This window comes from Homo sapiens, chromosome 8 (genome assembly GCF_000001405.40).
Source record: "Homo sapiens chromosome 8, GRCh38.p14 Primary Assembly".
NCBI classification, from domain to species: domain Eukaryota; kingdom Metazoa; phylum Chordata; class Mammalia; order Primates; family Hominidae; genus Homo; species Homo sapiens.
Window position 1 is genome coordinate 232416 of NC_000008.11, and position 20901 is coordinate 253316.

The 20901-nt window shown below is 40.1% G+C and overlaps 1 protein-coding gene across 9 annotated transcripts in view, besides 1 other annotated feature; it reads left to right on the plus strand.

Annotated features, from left to right (window-relative positions):
• Positions 1 to 247: part of an enhancer, noted in NCBI's record as "active region_26938", that runs on past the window's edge. NCBI's record gives its function as "activates an Ori minimal core promoter by ATAC-STARR-seq in GM12878 lymphoblastoid cells {active_cell/tissue: GM12878}" and the evidence as "EXISTENCE:reporter gene assay evidence [ECO:0000049][PMID:35858748]".
• Positions 1 to 14925, plus strand: part of ZNF596 (zinc finger protein 596) — a 15204-nt gene extending 279 nt beyond the window's left edge. For 3 of the 9 annotated variants that reach the window (NM_001287255.1, NM_001287256.1, NM_173539.3), the window contains exons 2-6: positions 8409 to 8492; positions 10472 to 10598; positions 11307 to 11390; positions 12204 to 12286; positions 12739 to 14925. In NM_001287255.1, the coding sequence (NP_001274184.1) occupies positions 8481 to 8492; positions 10472 to 10598; positions 11307 to 11390; positions 12204 to 12286; positions 12739 to 13947 (1515 nt within the window). In that variant the 5' untranslated portion in view covers positions 8409 to 8480 and the 3' untranslated portion in view covers positions 13948 to 14925. Of the gene's footprint in view, positions 1 to 40; positions 8082 to 8408; positions 8493 to 10471; positions 10599 to 11306; positions 11391 to 12203; positions 12287 to 12738 lie in introns of those variants that run through there. The other 6 variants (XM_047421414.1, NM_001287254.2, NM_001042416.3 and 3 more) reach the window with 6 other exon arrangements.
• The last annotated feature ends 5976 nt before the right edge of the window (positions 14926 to 20901 follow it).

A 20901-nucleotide genomic window follows, 5' to 3' on the forward strand; every position in this document is an offset into this window, starting at 1 on the left:
GTGAGTGCCCTCCGCTTTTTGTGGCCAAACCCAGCCACGCAGTTCCCTTCCTGCGGCGTCCTCCACACCCGGGGTCTGCTGGTCTCCGCGGATGTCACAGGCTCGGCAACCGCCCTCCTGTCGGCGGGGAGTCCCGCGACGCCCGGAAATGCTCCGAAGCCTGTCGCCCAGCTGCCAGATCTGCGTCTGTGTCCGGTTCCGTCACTGAGGTCGCCCCTGTCCGGCCCTTCCACCCTAGTTCTCTTCACCGTCCGCCCATCCTATCGCGCGCGGCCTCAGGTCCCGATTCGGCATGTGGCTTGTCTTCCATCGTCCCCACCCTCGCCCCTCTTGGCCCCTCAGGGCAGCCCTGGGATTCGGCAGACGCCAGTCCTCCCTGAGATGCTTCCCCATCCTTCCCTCCGCCAGGCCCTACGTCTCCGCAAACCCCACGCTTCGGGGTGGCCGCCTCAGACAGGACCCTGAGTCCGAGACTGGGGTAGGGGACCTGCCCGATCCTGTAACAACCCTCGTGCTTCTGCACAATCGCCTCCCACTAGCGGTGACTGTTGGGTGTTTACCTTCCCGGTGTCCCACTGAGAAGCGGGCTCTTCCTTGGCAGGGGCTTCTTCATTGCCTCGCTGTGGATGTCGAGGTGGGGCAGGAGAGTGAGGAGAAAACAGAGGAGGGAGGTAGAGCCAACGAGCGAGAAAAGGGGAGGGAAGTTTAGATGGGAAGTGGATGGGTCTGAGGAATTTGAACAAACACCGACAATGAAGGAGAGTGACCTGAGCAAGTAGTAGTGGGGTAAATGGAAATAGACAAAATGGGAATCAGCAGAGATATGGAGGACAGAATACAATGAGGAGGCCTTGACCGTCAGTAGCAGAGAGGGCAGCAGAAGCCTAATTCCCAAATTCTTTAGATGGTTTTCTGATTTCCAAATTAGTTTCCCTTTTAAATTTATTGTGTCAGGTTCAGCTTATGAGGCCTCAATACTTTTCAGTCTTAATTGTATATTGAAAATACTTTTTGTTTACTAAATGCTTTTTACATTAATTCAGTGTGCACTTCGTAAGGATAATGATGATTTGAGTTAGTTTAGTATTCAACAGCTTCCTCTATTCCTTTATATGATCTCTGTATTTAATGGCTGTGGCATAAAGTTTCCAACTAAGTTTAAGTATCAAGTTTTCTTTGTGCTGTTTTCTGCAAATATTGAAGGATGACCTGGATTGTCCTAGAACTTTGTTCCAACAGATTACATGTGTTCATAATGAATAGACTGCTCAAAGATATTTCCAAAGCTCACCTTTTATGTTTTTCAGTTCCAATAATTACATCTTTTTAAGGTTTATATTTTTTGATGACTTAATGTGATGTTCTGGAGAAGACAAATGCTTTTAATCAATATGATTAAAACCGTGAAAGACAAATCGCTGTTACTTAAGAGTGTGACATATGATCTGAAATCTTTAGGGGGCAGGGATGTTAAGGGAAAACTGCCACTATCGTATTAAGGTCATGCCATTCCTGTGAAGCTGGTGCTTGTTACTCTCTACTGGCTTCTGTTCACCTTTCCACCGGCCCCAAGACACACACATAGTGACACAAGGCAGTGGACAGGGAAAGAGCAAGACTTTATAAAGTAAGCACACAACAAAGGTATCTTTCTAATGAGGAGGAGGTGTTGGTTCTGGGAAGGAAGCTTGGGATTTGGGTATTCAGGATCCAGAAGTGAGAGAGCCTGGGAAGTTCAGGAACCAGAGAAAGAAAAAGCCTTGCCCATTCTCACCCATGACACTGTGCTCAGCAGGTACTAGCAGACTTCAGGCTCTGTGACTAAAAGGGGTCAGACCAGTTGATATACCCACAGCTGCCATGTAAGGATGTGTGTGGACTTCACTAGGGAAGAACGGTGTTATGAAAGAAGGGGCAGAAAAACTCACCTGTTGGTCTGCATGTAGAGGTTTATTGTCCTGAATTCCTGGAGGTTCAGTGAAAAGCAGAAGATTGTCTTTTACACATGTTGAGTTATGCCCCCATATATGTGGTTGTGGTAAAGAAAGAGGGTGTGTTGATGAGAGGTCCTGAAATGCATTTTCCTAATACTCAGCAGGGGCTTCTCAAGAAGGATCTTCCCTAAGAAAGAAGCTCAGAGAACAAAAATGGAAAAGGATTAGATATGGCACTTTCACTGGAAAAAGTCATGTTATTCATTGATTGTTTTGTCATCTCCCGCCTTAAGTGTTGTTTTTAGGATGTGGTAATCTCTGACCCTGCCTAACACATTTCCCAACTCACCCATAGCCTTCCCTTAACGTCCTCCCATCTTCACGCTATCACACTGTGACCCAGTGAATTCGAACTTGTGAAGTTCCATTCGGGGGATCATATGGGAAGGGCTTCACACCCAGACATAGATTATAGATGGGAAGTGGGCCACATGGTGTCAGTGAGGCAAGTATGGGTCGTTTAGGGACAATGCACTGTCAGATCTTTGTTGACCATGATTAGAGAAACTGTGCATATTAGTAGTGAATTAATGTCAGGAATATCTGACAAATCCTGGAAAAGAAGATTGATGAGAGGAAATGTGTTCTGCCCAACTGTATAATGCATTTGAAGCTTAAAACAATGAATCAGTATTGATCTGGCCACAAAATATTAATGATTTGAATTAAAAAGAAAAGTTTAGAAAATGATAGCTTTGACAAATTAAGGTAGCATTTCATCCACACGATGGAGTGTGTTTTATTCAGTAATTGATTTAAAAATGGAATCAACCTAAGTGTCTAACAGGAGGGAGTTTTATAAATTGTTCACAGAACATCTGTTCCAAGGAGACCTTGATGTTCATAGATTTGTAAAGAATGCTGCTTACTAGCACACTGACTGCTCTGCAAATGTCTGAGGGTTCCTCCACTTGGGGCAAGTTGGGGGTTTGATCGCAGAGTAAATAAATGGTGCATTTTATAATGTAATATATTCTAGCAAGATGCAGCCCACAAACTGTATAGATACTCTTATGTACCACATAAAGTTCATCTACTACTTTAACCAGAACTTGATACTGTATGTATGTTTTTTTTTTTTAGATTTGGATAAAATGACAACTCATTGTTATTTCCAGTTCACAAAGTAATTGTGAGGCTGAATAAATTTTATTATTTTATAGACATATGTGTAAAATGAATTTTTCTATGAAACTCATTTTTGATGTATATTAGATGCTATTTTATATTCTGTAGTTTAATTATATGTACGCACACACAAACACACACTTCGGTGTCTTATTATGTTTCTGCAGTGAAACCAAAATCCTTCCTTCACGCCCTTTGATTTTATGTTTTCCTCAGGAAGGCAGGAGCTATTGTATATGATAAAATATTATGTTTTATTCAGTCCACTTATGAAATTGTTTAATATTGTTATAAATATTTATATGACTTATTTTAAATTTCCAAATAACATAGGTTACATGAAATTTGACAACTTTATTTTTTTCTTTTCACAACTATTTTGACTGTATACTCACCAAAAATCAAAATTTAGACAAAATTGACTTTTAGACTAATTCTCATTTTTTACATGTAAAAGACCACATGGGACTTTTAAGTCTAGGTTGCCCTGAGTCTACAGTCACTGAGGTTTTATGTCACTATGTCCTCCATTCTAATAATAGGATTTTCAGGCTTTATTCATGTCATTTTTATATCCTCATTAAGTTTTAAAATTTATTTACATGGGTCTACAAATTTATTTCAAATCGTAGTCATAATATTTGCCTGTTGTAAATAGACACTGATTTTGTGTGTTTGCTTTTTTTAAGGACTAATGTTGCTAAACAGGAAATATTGATTTCAGAATATTCATAATAGTTTTGCCCACTTTTTAAATATTCTTATTAGTATTGATAATTAGAATTGATTCCACTTTTTCAAGTTTACAGTCACGTCATCTGAGAATAACTACAGTTGCAGCTCTTTGACTCCATTTTTGTAGTCCCTCTCCTTTTCCCTCTTGTTTTGGTCCCACCTCAGGCATCATGTGCAGTGGTGAATGGCATCAGCCTCACCCAGCCTCCTTTTTCCAGCCTTACCTTTAGTGGAAATGGTTCTTTTGTTAACTGCTGAATATATTGTTGAGATTTTATTGATTAAGAAGAATTAGTCCCCACAATTTGGTATGATTTTTAAAGATTTTATATTATTTTTAAAGATTTAAATTATATGAAAATGTTTTTTCAAAGGTCTATTAATGTGATTTTTTTAATCTTTAAAATTACTTTGTGAAAATGATAGGTTTTCTAGTATGGAATTATCCTTTTATTATTGCAATAAACTCCACTTTACCATGCTCTGTCATTATTTAACCATACCAGTGATGGCCAGGTGGCCAAAATAAATAGCCAAATGGCTAAAATTGTATTGATGATTTTTGCAAATGTAAGTAAGGAAAATTGTTGGTTAAATTTGTAGTTATTGTTACATTCATGTTCATTTTGATTAGCATAATAAACTAATGAGGACAGGCTTATTTTTCTCCTTCAAAATAACTTAGGTTACAAAGGAACTAGAAGTGATTTCACATGTAAGAACTCTCACAAATCACTTTTACAGTTAAACTCTGATATATAACTTAAACATTAAAATTGGCTAATCAGATTTTTGTGCTGATTAATGAGGGAAAGTTTTTACTCTTTTTGTGGAAAGTAATATACATATTCATGTTGGAATATAATTATTCCCATTTCTTAGATTTTAAATTACTACTTTTAAATAAATACAGTCTCTTTTATTAACCTGTGTTTTTTCTTTCCACCGTGGGTCTTTTCAGTTTCATGATTTTGCTCTCAAAACTTTTTAATTATTGATTTCTGTCAAATCTGTTCATTCATTACATTATTTTATTATTTATTAAATTGTTTTATCTTTTTAAGTCTTATTAATATGTACTGAATTTGTAACAATTTGGAAAGTCAAGTAACTCCTGTTTTATCTTTTTCTTGGTTTATGAGTGTTTTTAAAGTTTTACGTTTCTTGAAGATCACAGCTGTAGCCCCAATTCCATGGTTCTGGCTACTTACATTTATCATACTTATTAATATCATGAATGTAATTGGAATACCCCTTTGATTTTACTGGTGACGTATACCCACTAGTGTACTGAGACGGAAAAAAAAGTCTTTAGAACTCAGATAAATATACAGTTCATATTTACTATTTATGTATGTGTGATCTCATTATTAAATTACTCTATCATGTTTGTGGAATTAGCAGTTTCTCTTTGAATTTGGATGTTTCTAGTTATGTGTATTTCCAACGTATGTTTTTAGCCACATACACTTTATTGAATATCATATTTGGTGTTTAATTTTTGCTAGGATTATAGGCTGGACTCCAGATCCAAACTTGACATGTAGCAGACCCATTAAAAACATACATTAAGCCCCTAGCACTGTTTTAATCTCCATGGCCTGGCTGAGCTTCTGCCATCTGTCTTCCTAGGCACCATGAGGTCTGGACATCTCATTTGGCATAACTCAGCTGTGGCCATTGGTGGATCTCATCCTTAGTACTAGTCCCTGCTGGCAGGGGTGACCCAGGCCCACATAAGCCATTGCTGGCCTCCTTGGAGGACTTAGAGAATCCTGAGATTGCCCATGAGGATGGACATGCCTTTCAGTCTAGCACCCACCTTTAGTGATGCCTGTGGAGATTGAGAAGCTCACAGGGGCCTTGGATGTCTTTCTTATACCTCCATTGTCTGCAGCGTGACTCCCATACTCTTGAGCCAAGGTAGAGAATTTTTAGGAGGCTTGTGTGGAGGTTTATGGTGGCCCCCATGGTTCTGTGAGACTGGTAGAAAGCACAGACCCCTTAGACTTCTCCCCAAGGAGAATACGTGAGACTAGTGGAGGAAAGGAGAGTAATGAAATATGCATTTCGTGTCCCAGGCTATCAGAGCACAGCTCTAAGGAAAAATACAGGGCATCGTATAGCAACTGGCACAGCTCTGTGAGACTGGGAGATATTGCACAACCTTGAAAAATCAAGATGTGACCCTACTGAATGAACAAAATAAATCTCCAATAATTGACCATAAAGAAATACAGGTTTCTGGCTGGGTGCGGTGGCTCACACTTGTAATCACAGCACTTTGAGAGGCCGAGGTAGGCAGATCATTTGAGGCCAGGAGTTCAAAATCAGCTTTGCCAACATGGTGAAATACAAAAAAAAAAAAAAAAAAAAAAAAAAAAATTAGCTGGTCGTGGTGACGGGCACCTATAATCCCAGCTACTCAGGAGGCTGAGGCAGGAGAATCACTTGAATCCAGGAGGTGGAGGTTGCAGTGAGCTGGTATCGTGCCGTTGCACTACAGCCTGGGCAACGCGAGTGAAACTCCGCTTTAAAAAAAAGAAAAAGAAATGGAGGTTTCTGATTTTCCTGATAAGAATTACAGGTAATTGCCTTAAAGGAGGTCAATGAGCTATGAGACAACACTGATAACAAGTAAAATCTGGAAAAGGATACATGAACAACATGAGAATATCAACAAAGAAAAACCATAATAAAAGAATCAAATATAGATTCTGGGGCTGAAGAATACAGTAACTGAACTGGATCAATACAAGGCTTCAAGAGCTGACTTGATCAAGCAGAAGAAAGAACCAGTGAACTCAAAGACAGGTTATTTGAAATTATTCAATCAGAAGAGCAAGTAGAAAAAGAATTTTTTAAAAGTGAAGAAACTGTCTGTCTTTGCTAAAAATTGGAGGGTCCTAAGAACTCCTCCCCGCCCCCACTGCCAATGCAGAGTCTTACTCTGTCACCCAGGCTGGAGTGCAGTGGTTCGATCTCCGCTCACTGCAACCTCCACCTCCCAGGTTCAAGCGATTCTCATACCTCAGCCTCCCGAATAGCTGAGATTACAGGTGCCTGCCACCATGCCCAGCTAATTTTTGTATTTTTAGTAGAAACGGGGTTTTGGGGTTTCACCAAGTTGGCCAGGCTGGTTTTGAACTTCTGACCTCAGGTGATCCTCCTGCCTTGGCCTCCCAAAGTGCTGGGATTACAGGCGTGAGCCACCATGCCCGGCAAGAACTCCTTTTTATGTTAGATTCACTAGGGTTTAGCAGCTCACAGAACCCAGGAAAACAGTTTACTTAGCTGATTTATTACAAAGGACATTTTAAATATTACATATGAACAGCCAGCTAAAGAGTTACATACAGCAAGTTTTGGAAGCATCTTAGGTTTAGGAGGTCTGTCTCCAAGCAGTTGGGGGGTACCATTGTTTCAGCATATGGATGTGTTCTTCACCCACCCAGAAGCTCTAGGAATCCCATCATTCAGGGATTTTTATGTGGTGTTCATCAAGTAGGCATAATTGTTATTAACTCGATCTCCAGCCTCTGTCCCTTTCCCAAAGGATAGGGGGTGGGACTGTACGTTCCAAGCTTCTGATCAAGTCATGGTCTTTCAGGTGATCACCCCCCATCCTAGAGCCTAGTAATAATTGTCTCATTAGAACAGAAGACACTCTTATCACCTATGAAGTTCCAAGGCATTACGAGCTCTGTACTGGGAACCAGGGTCAAAGACCAAAAAGAACAAAAGCTTCTCCTAGCAACTCTGTTGCTTAGGAAATTACAAGGGTTTTGGGTGGCTCTGTGCCAGGAACTGGGGATGAAAACCAAACTATCTATTTCTTACAACTAACAATGTCACATACATGTTCAAGTTTTCATGTTCTTAGTGTCCTTTCATTTCAACTTGAGGAACTCCCTTTAGCATTTCTTGTAAGGTATGTCACTTGTAAAGTGTGTCTTTTAAGGAATCCACCATGATAAAATGAAATTTGAAGCTGCTTGGTAGATAAATTCATGCTACATTTATCTACAGGTCAGACTTGAGGGACTGGTATTTCTAGAAGCCTCACATGGAAGAGACAGAATCATTCAGTACAAGTGTATCCAGAGGACCAGCAGAAGGGAGAAGGAATGGAGGGAGGCTCCTGAGGGCTGAGATGCATGTGGAGAAAGCCTGCAAGCACACAAACCGAGAATAATTAAATCTGAGAAATTCCAGGATTTATCTGTAGGTGGAGCCACATCTCCATGATTCAGGGATTCTTAGGATTTGGAATCATAGAAGGAATTAAACATTTCAGAATTCCATGCGCTAGGTGGCATATGAAACTCCATGATTTTCACATTTCTAGGTCTAAAATAAAAATATTTATATCTTTATTAGCAGCAATAGTCATTTCTTCTGACCCTGGGAGAGGAGAGCCACCAACCCAACCCACCCCCTACCCACTGCATGTCCTTGTTGGTTGGACTGGGGCTAATAGCTTTGGGGCAGATGTTAGAAGCAAAACTGGAGTGTCATGGTTTTTTTGTTTTTGTTTTTGTTTTTGCTCAGATTTGTCTTCTTAGTGCTTGGATGGTGTGAGTGAAAACCCAGAGGAATACATTTGGTGGCTGAGCTAGTACAATGCCATCACCGGTGAGTGGGAAATTCTTCTTTCTACTGAAATTTGTACCCCTGTTACCAGCCTAAGGGCAGATTCATCCTATTAACATGGATGTTCTAAGTGCACTCAAGGATCCAAGCTCCAATTAAGATTCCCCAGGGCTTCGGAATGTTTACATTGGCTCAAAGAGTCATCAAGAAGTAATGTCCTTTCAACAGTACACTAAGGCATTCCAGCCTCTACTAAGGCTGTGTATTAAGATGTGAGAGGTTTTTGTTTCTCTCATCCAGTCTCAGGGAAATCATTCATTACGAGCCTCTCATGGCCTTGTTGGGGAAATAAATTCACTCATTACCTATGTTATTGGCAGGAGTGGGCTTGAGAGTATATGTGGGTAGGTGGTGAAAATAAGTGAGAGCAGGTTATAGCCCATACAAAGGCAAGCTCAGTTAGTCTAGTGTTTCAGGTGTTAGGGGAGGGCTGTTTAACTTGAAGGGAAAGCAGATAGGGTTAGGACAGAGGAGACAATGAGGAATTATTCATTTATTTTTCCTATCTCAAAATCTTAATGTCTTGAGAGAATAAATGTGAACTTTTGAAAAACTTAAAAAGCAAAATTAAAATTCTTATTACCCTTGTCCCCAAATTAACCTCTGATCAAATTTGATAACTGGAAGCAACTGGAGTGTTGTTTCTTTAATTTTGGTTGTGCATTAAGTGATGGAGTATAGGAAACAGAGTAAATTTAAAACTCTGAGGAAATTTTTGAAGTGGAGAGACCAGGACAATCAAAGGATTTTTTTTCCCCTAAATCTAGAGACAACATGAAGAAACAAAATAGAATAGTACCTAGTGCATTAGTCCATTTTCACACCGCTATAAAAAACTACCTGATAGTGGGTAATTTATGAAGAAAAGAAGTTTAACTGACTGACAGTTCTGCAGGCTTAACAGGAAGCATGACTGGGAGGCCTCCAGAAACTTACAATCATGGTGGAAGGGGAAGCAAGCACCTTCTTCATAAGGCAGCAGGAGAGAGACCAAATCAGGAAATGCCACACACTGTTAAATCATCAGATCTTCTGAGATATTACTAGCATGAGAACAGCAAGGGGGAAGTTCACCCCCATGATTCAATCACCTCCCACCGGACCCCTCCCCCAACATGTGGGGATTACAATTCAAGATGAGATTTGGGTGGGGACACAGAGCCAAACTATATCACCTGGTGTTTGAAGATCCCACATAAAATTGAGAAAGGAAATCCTCAGACCATGGAAAGTGGCAGGATGAGACCATCTTTCAGTACTGAAGTCTTAGAGTCCCTGGCTTGTGCTGCTGAGCCATTCATCCTTATCCATTAACAGTGAACACCTGAGTTGTGTAGACATAAGAGGCTGCATCTGCTGATACCAAGTTCTATATGAAAGTTGTTCACACAACTGAGTGTTCTCAGTCATTTCATGAATAATGTATTTGTGGCTTGTATCTAAAAAGTGATAGATAGGAACCACTTTACATACTATCTCATTGGACCTTTTTGAACTCATAACAGGTCTTTATTTTATTCTGAGGACACTGAGGTCCTATAGTGGAATATCTAACTATAGTCTTGATTAAAACGTGACAAATTATGGATGCTGCCTCCCTTGTAGTGAGTCTATAGATTTTCTTGAAGGTGGTGGAGAGGAGAATTTTAGTTCTAAATTTCCAAGTACAGATTTCATAATTAGTATCTGTAAGTTATACTTTAGAAGTCTATTGGGAAATCTTCAGGTTATATTATGCCACACCACATGTGATATTTCTCTATGTGAAGTTTTATGTATGAGTAAATCTGAAAGCCAGATTCCCAGTTCAGATTTAAAGCAATGTGACAGGAACCCCAAACACTGTTTTGAGTTTTCTGTTCATACCACCCACACTTCCTTAGTACAGTCACTTTGATCTTGCTCCACTGAACATTGGCAGAGATAGCCCTGTTTGCAGTAGAATGTCCATAATGTTTTAGGATTCCATGACCTTCGAGGATATCATTGTAGACTTCACTCAAGAAGAGTGGGCCCTGCTGGACACATCCCAGAGAAAGCTGTTTCAAGATGTGATGTTGGAGAACATCAGTCATCTGGTCTCTATTGGTGAGTCTCTTTATATTTATTATGTATGTATATACGGATTCATTCACTCACTCATTTTTCACTGATTCATTCTTTCATTCTACACGTGCTTAGAACAGCTTTCTCATCTATCACTTCAACTTCTGCTTTGATCCTTTCATAACTCTCACAATTACCTGACAGCCATTTCTTTCCTTTTCACTTATATTGATTTGTCCTCTCTCTAGAAAGTCATCTTTCTGACCACAGTTTCACATCCTTCTTGCTCTTTAATCTCCCAAACTCAGAAAAGTTATGGTAATTCACTGCTTTGGTATGCATAAATAAATGTATTGATTTCTTTAAAGTAATTATTCTATCATAGGGACTGTTCTGCACAGAACCTAGATTGTTCTGGTGGAGCTAATATTTATTGCATAGTTTTTTAATATAATGTCAAATACTATGACAATTTGTAATTTCTCACTAAGTGAAAACACTGAGGATTCTGAAATCAGTATTTGAAGTGAGGCATGGCCATCAGCAATTATAGGTCTTTTATGTCTGGGAACAAGTTCAAGAGTTTTCATTTTGCTCGTGAAGGACTGTCAATGTTGTCTTCAAGGTACTCTTCCCAGGCTGACCTTCAGTGGCTAACTTATCCTTCCCAGTAGGCTGCCCTGTATCTGATAACCTTGTACATTTGTCAGCACAGAACTCAAAATCCATGTATCTTTTTCCCCAAAACAGGCAAACAGCTCTGCAAATCAGTTGTGCTTTCCCAATTGGAGCAAGTAGAGAAACTTTCAACACAAAGAATAAGCTTACTGCAAGGTGAGCTCTAAGAAGCAGTGCTTCAATAGGAGGAGGAGAAACATGGCCAGTGAGTGAGTAGGACCCAACAGTTGCCAAAGGAAGATTTCTTTTGTTTTTTTAGACAGAATCTCACTCTGTCACCCAGGCTGGAGTGCAGTGGCGTGATCTCGGCTCACTGCAACCTCTGCTTCCCAGATTCAAGTGATTCTCTTGCCTCAGCCTCCCGAGTAGCTAGGACTACAGGTGTGCGCCACCATGCCCAGCTAATTTTTTTCTATTTTTAATAGAGACAGGGTTTCAACATGTTGGCCAGGCTGGTCTTGAACTCCTGACCTCAAGAAATCCACCCACCTCAGCCTCCCAGAGTGCTGGGATTACAGTCATGAACCACCACGCCCAGCCGGAAGGTTTCTTAAATTTGCAGTGTTTCTGAAATGTAGGCAAAAACCTGAGGGAAACATTTCTCAGATATTGTCATTATACTTTGTAGGTATCAATTTTTATTCAAGTATCTCTCTGTCATTGTCTTTGTCTTTTGTAAAGGGGATATTTGTGTACTTATTTGAGTTAAACTATTACATACTAGCCCTTTATAATGGTCCTCTTCTTTGAAAATTTTTCTTTCCTTCCTCGACTTGCCTTTATTTTTTTATATGCTGAAAATGTCAGTAGTCAATGTGCTATAATACTCTTCTCCTTAAAGTATGGTTAATTTAACATTCTTTCCCTGTCTGTGTGTATTTGAAACACACTCAAATGGGCTTTGGAGCTATTTAACATTTTTATTCCCCTAATGCCTATATAGCATCTTTTTTTTTTCATTTATTTCAGGTAGAGAAGTTGGCATTAAACATCAAGAGATACCATTCATTCAACATATCTATCAGAAGGGCACGTCCACCATCAGCACAATGGTAAGCTTTATGGATGCAAACCCTGTTCTTACATATAGAAACCTGGACATTAAACAACTTTGGAATTTGGTACAGGTACCTGACTGTACTTAAAGCCCTCCCAGCAGTTTTAGATAGTTTGGATTTAGTGAAGACGTTAACTTCAAATCAAAACCATAATATGAGGCCTTATGACAGGACAACTGTACAAACTTGACTACGTGCTGAAACTTTCAAACATGATAAAGTCTTAATAACTAGTCAGATAGCTCTTCAGTTGGGATGCTACAACAGGAAAACTCTCTACATGCAGTTAGATAATATACTACGTTTGTATAACTGATATAGGAACAATTGTAACTGGAGTCTACCACTGAATGATTATTCTAGAATTAATATGTAGAGAAATGAATGAAGTAATGAATGAGTGTGGATAAACCTTTAATAGTCTTTCATTTCATTCCCAAAACCAGAGATCTCATACTCAAGAGGATCCTTTTCTATGCAATGACTTAGGAGAAGATTTCACTCAACATATAGCATTGACTCAAAATGTGATTACCTACATGAGAACGAAACACTTTGTAAGCAAAAAGTTTGGGAAAATCTTCAGTGACTGGTTATCCTTTAATCAACACAAGGAAATTCACACCAAATGTAAATCATATGGAAGTCATCTATTTGATTATGCCTTTATCCAAAACTCTGCCCTTAGACCACACAGTGTGACTCACACTAGAGAGATAACATTGGAATGTCGTGTGTGTGGGAAAACCTTTAGCAAAAATTCTAATCTTAGGCGACATGAGATGATTCACACTGGAGAGAAACCACACGGATGTCATCTATGTGGGAAAGCCTTTACTCATTGCTCTGATCTTCGAAAACATGAGAGAACTCACACTGGAGAGAAGCCATATGGATGTCATCTATGTGGGAAAGCCTTCAGTAAAAGTTCTAACCTTAGACGACATGAGATGATTCACACTAGAGAAAAAGCACAGATATGCCATCTATGTGGGAAAGCCTTCACTCATTGCTCTGACCTTAGAAAACATGAGAGAACTCACTTAGGAGATAAACCATATGGATGTCTCCTATGTGGGAAGGCTTTCAGTAAATGTTCTTACCTTAGACAACATGAAAGAACTCACAATGGAGAGAAACCATATGAATGTCATCTATGTGGAAAAGCCTTCTCTCATTGTTCTCACCTTAGACAACATGAGCGAAGTCACAATGGAGAGAAACCACATGGATGTCATCTATGTGGGAAAGCATTCACTGAATCTTCTGTGCTTAAACGACATGAGAGAATTCACACTGGAGAGAAACCATATGAGTGCCATGTATGTGGGAAAGCCTTCACTGAATCTTCTGACCTCAGACGACATGAGAGAACTCACACTGGAGAAAAACCATATGAATGCCATCTATGCGGAAAAGCCTTCAATCACTCTTCTGTCCTTAGACGACATGAGAGAACTCACACTGGAGAGAAACCATATGAATGCAATATATGTGGTAAAGCCTTCAATAGAAGTTACAACTTTAGACTTCATAGAAGAGTTCACACTGGAGAGAAACCATATGTATGTCCTCTATGTGGGAAAGCCTTTAGTAAATTTTTTAACCTTAGACAACATGAGAGAACTCACACTAAAAAAGCAATGAATATGTAAGAATCATCAGCTGTAGCGTTAACACTAAATACACCAAGGACAAACATACTACAGGAATATTATGTCTGTAATCAGTGTGGAAAAGCCTTTATTTATATTTACCACTTTGCTCAACCTAAATGAATTCAAGGTAGAGAGAATCCAGATGTATTTAATGTTTATGGCACAAACTTCAGACTCTAGGCTGACCATATACAACGTGAGAGAATGAAACTATAGATCAAAGGAATGTGGAGGAGTCTTCATCCACAGCTCTGTTAAATAAATGGGAGAAATCACATCACGAAAATTCTGTGCCTGTCGTCAGTGTGAAAATGCCTTTGCTGATAATTTATCCTCTAAACAAATGAGTAAAATCCACAGGCAAGCAACCATATGTCTGTAATTGCTGTGCACTCTCATTCAGCTAAGCACCAATTTTGGTGTGTGCAAGAAAATTCATTATAAGGTAACTGATAAAAACAGGAAATATGTGAAAATATTTTTTATTAGGTGGATGAGGCCTCTTGAACAATTCCAGACATTCATAGTGGAGAAGTTATTCAATGAAAACTCATGAGAAATCCTTTTCTTAATACAGCAGCACTTCTATAATAGATCAGAATTCACATGGTGTAGAACTCTCAATGACATGAATGGAGGGTAGTCCTCAGTAAATTACTCATTCCTTAGTCAATACCAGCATTTTTCCAGTGAGAAAACTATCTTGACAGGATAGTGGAAAAACCTTCAGGCAGCTTTTATGTCAAAAAAGTGAGACAGGGATGAAAACTCTAAAAAGCCATTGATGAGATGTATAGCTGGGGGACAAAACATAAAGCCATCAAGCACGTGCTTGAGAAAAAAATTATAATTTTGAATAAAGACTTTCTACTTAAAATATGTGGGTTGAAATGTACAATTCTGAAATAACCTGGGAATATTGAATGCAGAATTATGTAAGAAGTAATAAGATTAAATTAGTACTGTCAAAAATACAAGCATTAAGTGTTGTTGCTGAATAATCTAATAGGTTTATTAAAATCTGTGTTTTTTGTTTTTTGTTTTGAGACAGGGTCTCGCTCTGTAACCCAGGCTGGAGTGCAGTGGCGCAATCTCAGCTCAATGCAAGCTCTGCCTCCTTGGTTCATGCCATTCTCCTGCCACAGCCTCCCGATTAGCTGGGACTACAGGGACCCACCACCACACCAGGCTAATTTTTTGTATTTTTAGTAGAGACAGGGTTTCACTGTGTTAGCCAGGATGATCTTGATCTCCTGACCTCGTGATCTGCCTGCCTCAGCCTCCCAAAGTGCTGGGATTACAGGCATGAGCCACCGCGCCCGGCCCAAACTCTATGTTTTTAATTCAGTTTTAAACACATAGATTTGGGTCAGTTAGAAAATGCGGATGGGCATGGCGGGTCACACCTGTAATCCCAGCACTTTGGGAAGCTGATATTGGTGGATCACTTGAGGTCAGGAATTCGACAACAGCCTGGCCAACGTGGTGAAACCCCATCCCTACTAAAAATACAAAATTAGTTGGGCATGATGGTGTATGCCTGTAGTCCTAGCTATTCAGGAGGCTGAGGCAGGAGAATCACTTGAACCCAGGAGATGGAGGTTGCAGTGAGCCAAGATCATGCTACTGCGCTCCAGCCTGGGCAACAGAGTGAGACTCTGGCTCAAAACAAAAAGACAGTGACATTCAATGGAACTAATACACATAGAACACAAAATTATAGGTCCTAACTATAGTAGTGGTATATATGTACATGGTAATGATTAAGTCAAACATGGATTATGAAAGACTCACTTTAAAAGTACAGTCTTATGGTGCTTAAATTTGCCTTTTTGTTTTTAAACCACTTTATCAAAGTGTAATTGACAAAAGCTGTTACTTAATGTATACAACTTAATAAGTTTTGAGATAAGGATAAGCCCAGGAAACCATCACCACCACCATCTGTGCCACAAACATTCATTCTCTCCAAAATTTCCTTCCCTCATTTTTCATTGTTCTCTTTGTGATAAAACCACTTACATCACAGCAACCTGTAGCAAATTTTTAAGTATATAATACAGTATTGATAAGTATAGGCAATATATTATATGATTTAACATTGCAAAAATAAAACTAATTACAAATGAATCTATTTAAATATAATTTGGCAGTGCTGGATAATTGTGGTTACATTTGCATGAATGTCTCCCAGAATCAGGTATGAGCATCATAACAGAGATTTTTGTTGCCATGGGCTTTTTTTCTTTAAGAACCTTTCTGTTCTGTGTGTAAATGTTTAATATTCTCACTTCTCACAAGGGCTATTTATGGAATCTTAGCTTATATATTCCTCTCTAGCCTCTAAAGCTTACACTTTAAATTAATCTGTTTTTTTTTTCTTTTTTTGTTTCATCTTTATTCACTCCATCCTACCCAGAAGCAGAAACCCCACTATTTTGCACAAAACAAAAATGTCAGCTTATTTTTCCTCCGCCTAGACAGGCCATCTTTCTTCTGGGACCTTATGTTCCCTTCATGTTAATTTTCAAGTGCTTGAGAAAATCCAGTGTGATACTTCATTGACTCTCCCCTTTCTCATGAATTCTACCTCAGAAAATCCTGTCCGAACAGGCTACCCTCATGCCTAAAGCAGCTGTTTCATGTATTTCGTTTAAGTTTTGTTACTGTTAATGGTGGGTTGGTCCAATAACATCCACAGTCATGCTGGGAACAAAAATTTTTTACTCAAATATTTTAAGCCAAATAATGCTTATTCTATTTTTATGGGTGAAATAATTAAATCAGAATTTTCACAATAATGACTATTTCTATACGAAAAAGTTCTCCACTGTTCACAGCTTAACATCACATTAAATCCATTGGTGTCAGCTGCCTCATTTACCACATGCGACCATAAGGCCCGGCTCTTTTGGCCTGTGACAGAAGTCAGTGTATTTTCTCCCTGTGCCACATGTGTCCCTGCTCCCAGTCCTGGGTTTCTGTGTTGATGCCGAGGTATAAGATACCCATAGTAAGAGCACACACATGCACAGCCAGATTTCCTTTGATATCAGATTAAGAAGTGGTTCCTGCAGAAATTTTTAGATAAGGGCTAGTAAGTTTTGAGTCATCAGGTCATTGCCATGGAAAGGGAGGTAACCCCTGGGTATTGCCATGGCAGTGGTAAATAGATATGGCAGACTGGTGGGTATCTCTGGAAAGTTGCTTTTGCTATGGCTTTGTTTTAGCTACTCCTCAATCTGGTCCAGTGTCTGAGCCCTACCTCTGGAGTCAAGTCCCACCCCCTACCTCATCCTCTCCTCAGAGATTAGATATTCCTCCTTAATCTTAAGGGTGCTGTAGAAGGGCAGAAGTCTGTATTCTGTAACTGCTTCCTGCTGAGCTTATGGGCATAGGCCCTGCCTAGCACTGGAGGAGTAAAAATCCCTGGGTACAGGCCGGGCACGGTGGCTCATGCCTGTAATCCCAGCACTTTGGGAAGCCGAGGCGGGCAGATCACAAGGTCAGGAGATGGAGACCATCATGGCTGACACAGTGAAACCCCGTCTCTACTAAAAAAAATACAAAAAATTAGCTGGGCATGGTGGCGGGTGCCTGTAGTCCCAGCTACTCGGGAGGCTGAGGTGGGAGAATGGCATGAACCTGGGAGGCAGAGCTTGCAGTGAGCCAAGATCATGCCACTGCACTCCAGGCTGGGTGACAGAGCGAGACTCCGTCTCAAAAAAAAAAAAAAAAGAAAAAAGAAAAATCCCTGGGTACCTCAACTAAGGGACCCACAGGCAGGACACTTTTTCATTCTCTGGGTCAGTAAACAGGATGGTTGGAATTCTTCTGCCAGCATTGTCTTTACCTGGAAGTTTTGTAATCTAGAAGACACAAACTTTACTAAGAGGTTAAACAAGGAAGTGACAAAGAATAGTAAGATAGCTATCAAAGGTCCTAGGAGAGGTAAAGACCAGTGAGACTTGGGAAGGTACTTTTCATAGATGACCAGATACAGTTGGGAGTCAGTGCCCTGATTATGTAACCAGGTAACTTGCTCATAGATCTTTTGAATGTTAATCTCAACTTGTCCAGATTTGTTAATATACATGCAGCAGGTTTTACTAATAACTTCACAGACTCCTCCTTGTTCAGCTAGTAAATAATTCAACACTAGTCTCTTATAGAGAACTAAATTTGCCAAAGAGTCTAAGGACTTGATTTCCCTTTAATGCCTGACCTGTGATAGTGGCTAAGCTTTCTAAGGGTTTGAGTCAAGTTCCTTAGAGTTAAGTCATGGTAGACAAAGCTGCCCCAGGGTGCTGCTAATCCTATCACTGCCCTCATTTCTGCCAGAATTAATCCTATCGCTTGCTTACTTCTGGTATTCTTGGGTCTATTGGGGTTATAGACAGTGACCCCTGGTGAGTCAAGGGGGGGCAATGTACATTCACTTCTGTTCCAAGTACTTGACAAAGAAAAGCTACTCCTAAAAGAACAGGTGACTCCCTAGAGTTGGGAGTGGTTACAGATTCTGATTTATTCCCGTTCATGGCCACAAACAGAAGCCCTATGGGGTATGATGTTTATTCTTTGCTGTCAAGTTGGGTCTATAGAGATATTTTCTCCCTGTTCCAGTGGGGGTGGTCAGATAATCTTTGTTTCCCAGAAGTGGGCAGTACTTCCACCTTCCTGGACTGGGCAGTCATTTCTCCTTTGTATGTTCTGATCCAGAAATCACCATATATGTTTTCTTCTCACTTACAAGTGGAATCCCACTTACTGCAGCCTTGGAAACTTGACAACTATAGTTGGATCAGAGAGCATCACTCCACTTTTGTGTCATTAACACAGACGTGAGAGCAAAGGATAGAATCATTTGTGCACTGGAGATATGGATATCTAACTTCCCAGGTCCAGGGAATAGTGGTGGAGGAGGGGTTCAAGTGGAATACATTAAGTGGGTGAGAGCTGCACTTAACTAGTAGGGGTTTGATTATTTCTGGATTGCTATGGTTAGTTAGGAGGCCAGGGGGGATGGTCATGAGATTTTCCAGGTAAGCCAGAAGATATAACTCTCTATCCTGGGGATGTTGATGACAAATCTAACAACTGTGAAGATGATTCCCTGATGCTATAATCTTAGAAATCTTTACTATAGAGTTATGTTCTCACCCACACTGGATCAGGGTAATTGGAAGAGCAAACATCAACAGTGACAACATGGTGTCCAGCTAGGCATTAGCATGGTCTCTATACCCAACAAGGACAAAACAGGTGTTTTGCAGAAGTTGGCTAAAGCAACATAAAAGAAGTTCAATTAAGAAGAAGAGAAAAATTAAGCTCCTATTCCCACCCACAGCATCACATTTCCACTTTTAGCTGAGTGTTGAATCTTTTAAATAGGTACCAGAGGTCTTCCAAAAACTCATAGATGTAGGTCATGATGTCCTCTTTTTGTGCCTGTGACTCAGAAACAGGTTTAATCATGGACAGGTATACCCAACTGGTTCTTCCCTGAAGTTTCACAGTGGTGGGAGTACTCAATAAAACCTGATAGTGGGCCTTCCATTTTGGTTGTAGTTGATCTTCAGGGGATATTTCTTTCCAAGTTTTCAGCAAAACTGCATCTCCTGGTTGAATAGGGGGGTTAATTCTTTTATTAATCTCCTGGTTGAATAGGGGAGGGGGGAATACTTTGTTTCCATATGCTTGGAGGGCCTTTTGAACCTGGCTTCTTCAGGCAGCGGGGAATAGGGGCCTGGGCTTGTTGGATAAGTGGGAGGGGTTCCTGATGACTTTGGAGTGTAATTCTGCACCAAAGAACTAGTGGGGTCCCCCTCAAAAGTAGGAGACTGGGGAGGCTCTGAAGTGGGAGCACAGATCTCAGAGGAACAGCTAAAAGGGGGTCATCTAGGGTATCTGGTGCAGCTTCAGACACATTCTACAGCTAGCCCTTAGATTAGGATCCTGGTAGAGGGAAATAAAAGCCTGCACATAGCAAACTTCTTACCATTTTATTTCCTTTTCACACAACAAATCTAACTGTATGATATCATTATAATGTAAAGAACCGTGTCTAGAATAAATATGTTGGTTTATCAATTTTTATTGAATCCAAACATTATTGCAATAGTAAACAAGGTTTTTCTTTTTCAACCTGTCTAATAATTTGAAGCTACTCCAATGGCCTAAATGACACCCGAGTGGCGAGTCTTTTTGAATGCTTACTGTTGTCCCCATGTCTAGTAAGGCTCACTACAAGGGGTTTTAGTTAGCCTAAGTTTAGCAAATGCATACTTACTTTTCCCTTTTCATTTCCCACTTTCTATAGTTGCCAAGGTGTTACAAAAGTAGATTAGGAAAACCTAGCCAATACCAATCAGGACATAGGCGTGGGCAAAGACTTCATGACTAAAACATTGTAGGGAAAAGAAATAGAGATCAGACTATTACTGTGTCTATGTAGAAAGGCAAGACATAAGAAATTCAATTTGGACCCGTACCTTAAACAATTGCTTTGCTGAAATGTTGTTAATTTGTAACTTTGCCCCAGCCAATTTGACCCAACTTTGAGCTCACAAAAACATGTGTTGTATAGAATCAAGGTTTAAGAGATCTAGGGCTGTGCAGGATGTGCCTTGATAACAAAATGTTTACAAACAGTATGCTTGGTAAAAGTCACTGCCATGCTCTAGTCTCAATAAACCAGGGGTACAATGCACTGCGAAAAGCTGCAGGGACCTCTGCCCTGAAAAGCTGGGTATTGTCCAAGGTTTCTCCCCATGTGATAGTCTGAAATGTGGCCTCGTGAGATGAGAAAGACCTGACCGTCCCCCAGCCCGACACCTGTAAAGCGTCTGTGCTGAGGTGGATTAGTAAAAGAGGAAAGCCTCTTGCAGTTGAGATAGAGGAAGGCCACTGTCTCCTGCCTGCCCCTGAGAACTGAATGTCTCAGTATAAAAC